Below are 4,891 nucleotides of genomic sequence, written 5' to 3'. Positions count from 1 at the left end.
GGGCACTAATCTGATTGATGAGGGCTTTGCCCCTATGTTCTAATCACCTCCCAAAAGTTCTGCCTTCAAATATTATCGTACTGGGGATTAGGTTTCAACATGTGAATTTTGGGGGGAATACGAACATCCAGACCATAGCAGGCACATTATCAAGTAATTACTGTTTCTTCCATCCAGTTGAGAAATTCTGGGAGAGATAGAGTAGAATATCTCAGACTTATCCCAACTGAGGGAAGAGGTGACTGGTATTGTCATTGGTTTATATTTATTTCAGCCATTCTGATGGGTGTATATTTGTATTACATTGTCCTTTCCCTATTCTCTATATTTTTTGTCCTTCTCATTTTGATGTTTTTTATATATTTGGAGTTCTGTATATATTTGGATCTCTCTCTTCTTTTTAAGCTATATGTGTAGCCAATATCTCTCCCATTGTATGTATTGACTTCTCACACTTTTAATGTCATTTGATTAATAGAAGTTTTACATTTTTAATAGAGTTCAATTTATCAATATTTTCTTTTATGTTTAGCACTTTTTTGGTCTTGTTTACAAACTCTTTGCCTACTCAACACCATTTGTTAAAAAGACAATTTTTTCCATTTAGTTTCTTTCACTTAATAATATGCATTTACGATTTCTCCATATCTTTTCAGGACATGATAGCTCACCTTCTATTAGTGCTGAATAATATTTCATTGTCTAGTTGTACTACAGTTTATTTGTTCATTCACCTACTGGAGGACATCTTGGTTGCTGCCAAGTTTTGGCAATTATGAATGAAGCTGCTATAAACATTCACGTGCAAGGTTTTGTGTGGAAATAAGATTTCAAATATTTTCCATAAATACCAAGGAGCACAACTGATGGATCATACAGTAAGAATAAGTTTAGTTCTGTAAGAACTGCCAAACTGTCTTCCAAAGTTGCTGCAGCATTTTTTATTTTTAGCAGCAAAGTTGCTGCTGTTTCACATCTTCCTCAGGATATATAATGCATGACTCCAACTATATGACATTCAGGTAAAGGCAAAACTTTGAAGAGTAAAAAGATCAGTGGTTGCAAGGGGTTGGGGAGAGCGAGGATGAATAGGTGAAGCACAGAGGATTTTAGGGTGGTGAAATTACCCCGTGGGATGCTGTAATGGTACATAAATATCATTATGAATTTGTCTAAACACATAGAATGTACAACACCAAGTGTGAACTTTAACAATGTGCCAATGAAGGTTCACCAGTTGTAACAAGTGTCCACTGTGACATGGGATGTTGACAGTAAGAGAGGGTGTGTATGTGTAAGGGGCAGGAAGTATATGGGAACTCTCTGTACTTTCCACTCAATTTTGTGATGAACGTATAACTGTTCTAAAACATATTAATACATACATATGTATATTTTATAAATAAATATGTATACAAATATAAATAGTGGGTTATAATTACATATATATATATCCTATTATTTGCTCACTGAATTGTAGCAATTTGTCACAAATTATGTGACTATATTGTGGGGGTGAGCTTCTAGACTCTCAAGTCTCTTATTTTGTATCGTTGAATCAATAGCACACTGTTTTAATTACTATAGAATTATAATAGGTCTCAATAACTAGTGATGTATTTTTCTTCTATTACACATGATTGCTGGAGGTAATTTGGAGACACTGTTGGTCAGATTATTGTTCAGATTCATCTCATTTTCTGAGAGATTTTTGTTTAGTTTCGTTTTCATTCTTTTTTTTCCCTTTAGTAAATATTTGTTGAATTTTGCCAGATACTTTTTATTACATATATTGGGACATTTGAATAATTTTTGTTTTTTTTTCTGTTAATGTTGTGAATAATGTTGACTGATTTTAGAAATTAAATCCTTCCCTGCATTGCTGAATTAAAATTACACTTGAATGGTATTTCTATTCTTCTACAACTCTTTTAAATTTTATTTTCTGTTATTTCTCTAGCTCCTTGAGGTTAGTGCTTAAATAATTGTGTTTTCATATATCACTGGATTCAATTTTCTACTCTTTTGCTTAGGGTTTTTGTGTCTATATTCATGAGGATTACTCTAATTTAATCTTTCTTGTTACATCCTTGTCAGATTTTGGCATCAGTTTATATCTTGATTAGCAGTTCTAGAAATTTAATCTGTTTTATTATTCTTTTAAAGAGCCAAAGCCTGACTTTTACATTTCTTTCATTGTGCATTTTTAAAATAATTTATATTCTTAGCTTTTTTCCTTTGCATCCTATAAATTTTAATTTGCTATTCTTTCTCTAGCTTCTTGAGTTAGAAAATTATATATTTTTTTCTAATTTATACATTTAAAGCTACAAATTGTTCTGAACCATATGTTAGCTGCATTACACAAGTTTGATATATCTTGTCTTCATTAAAATGAAAGTGATTTTTTAATTGATACATAAGAGTTGTATATATTTATGGGGTACATGTTATATTTTGATACATGCATACAATGTGTAAAAATCACATTAGGGTAATTGGGTTATATATCATCTCAAACATTTATAATTTCTTTGTGTTGGGAACATTCCAAACCTTTCCTCATAGGTATTTGAAAATGTACTATAAATTCTTGTTAACTGTAGTTGCCCTACTGGGCTACTCAACATTAAAACTTATTTCCTCTATCTAAGTATATTTTTAACCAACTTTCTTTTTGAATTTTTATTGTGATATTTTCTTTTGCCTATGAATAAGCATGTTGCATAACTTTCTGGTAGATAGGATATATTTTTGTTATTTTGTTATTGACTTTTAATTCCACTCTGGTAAGAGAACATAATCTACATAACTTCAATGTTTTAAAGTTTTTTGGGGTTTCTGCATGTCTCAACATCTGGCCACTTTTGGTAAATTATCCATTAGCATTTGAAAATAAGGTAAGTTCTGAGGTTGTTGGGGACAGCATTTTACATAGGGAATTTGTTAATTATGTTTGTTAGATCTTCTAATCTATAGAAGATTATTTAGTTCTTGTCTACTAATTGTAACAGGTATTTAGAGAGGTTTGTTAATGTCTTCTACTTTTATTAATTGCCTATCCCTTCTAATTCTGATGATTTTTGTTTTAAGTATTTTGAAGTTTCTTTATTTAATGCAAGCAGATTTAGATTGGCATATTGTCTTTTTCTATTAACTCCTTTATCATGATATAAAATTCTTTCGCCGGGCGTGGTGGCTCATGCCTGTAATCCTAGCACTTTGGGAGGCCAAGGCGGGCAGATCACTTGAGGTCAGGAGTTAGAGACCAGCCTGACCAACATGGCAAAACCCCGTCTCTACTAAAAATACAAAAATTAGCCTGCTGCAATGGCATGCGCCTGTAATCCTAGCTACTCCAGAAGCTGAGATGGGAGAATGGCTTGAACCCAGGAGGCAGAGGTTGCAGTGAGCCGAGATCGTGTCACTGGACTCCAGCCTAGGTGACAGAGTGAGACTCTGTCTTAAAAAAAAAAAAAAAAAAATTCATTTACAGCAACTCTTCTTTACATGAAGCACACTTTTTTTCAATATTAGTAAAGCTACATACACATGTATTGCCTTAGCCTCAATTTTACCAGTATATCTTGCAGTCCCTCATTTTCAACATTTTTGTGACCTCATCTTTAACATATGTCTCTTCTAGGCAGTAGTAGGTAGCACAGAAGGTTTTATTTGTTCACTTGTTTGTTTTCCCCATCCAGCCCCCTGTAACTATGTAAAGCTCCATTGAGTCATCTCGGTCCCTCTGTAGCACTCTTCTTCCTAGGTCAATCCCAGAATTCAAGCCTCTAGACAAGGTACAGGAGTTTAACCAGAAACAGCAGAAGAGATTCAGATAGACTCTGACATACTCTAAAATTTTACTTCTTGTAGTGACTTCTGTGAATCTCTGTCTGTATATGTAGTAAATAATTTGACTTTTCAGGTGGTTCTCAGCAGAATTGTTATCCTGTGAAGTACTCCATCTATCTAAAAGCAGAAGTCAGGATGATTTTTAAAAAATATTTCTAAATATTGTACAAAATGATATCAGTAAGGCATTTTAAACTTGGGACTCTTACATTAGGCTAGCAGAAGAATTTTTTTATGGAAAAGACATATGCAATGGTAAGTTAATGATTACCAGTCAGGATTTCAGAGAAAACAAGAAATAATTAAATCATAAGTGGTCTATGTTTCCGTAGTCACATCATATCTGTTACCATTTTTATGAAAATATTATGATTGTTATTGACATAATTCCTAAAATACTTTTACATGTTTCTTTCAGTTGTTAATACAATATTTTGTTTCCGAAAAAATCCTTGAAAAAGCCAAGCGGAAATTATGTGACATGTTTCTTTATATTACGTGAAATTTAAGGTCTAAAATGAACAAAATCTATTTGATCTTTTTCAGTAGCATGAACCAGAAAGCCTAATCTTCATTATTGGCAAATGCTTCTCATACTCTTCTGTTTCCATAGGTGAAGTATTGCTACATCAGTAGTTTCAAAGGAACAGCTGTCAGATATCACTAAAGCAAAATGCAAACCATCAGTTCCACAGTTATCAATAGCTAATATGGACAAGTTGAAACATCTTCACATCCTTATGAGACTAAAAAGTTGTTTTGTATAGTCTAAGTTTATTCATTTTTAGTTAAATTTTAGTTAAATTTAGATTTTTCTTTTGTGGAGCTTATGGTCTTTAAGAACCAGTGATTTTCTCGATTTTCTCTGTGTCTAGGCAAAATGCCTTCAGTTGACCCAAGCCCTGTCATCACTCCAGGCAAAACTGTGTATTCTGCTTTCATTTTCTTTTATTTATTTTTCAAATTGACATAAAAAATTATATGTCTTCACCATGTACGACATGATGTTTTGAAGCATATATAAATCGTGGAATGA

Source organism: Homo sapiens, chromosome 2, assembly GCF_000001405.40.
Source record: "Homo sapiens chromosome 2, GRCh38.p14 Primary Assembly".
Lineage (NCBI taxonomy): Eukaryota > Metazoa > Chordata > Mammalia > Primates > Hominidae > Homo > Homo sapiens.
This window is presented reverse-complemented; position numbering follows the sequence as displayed.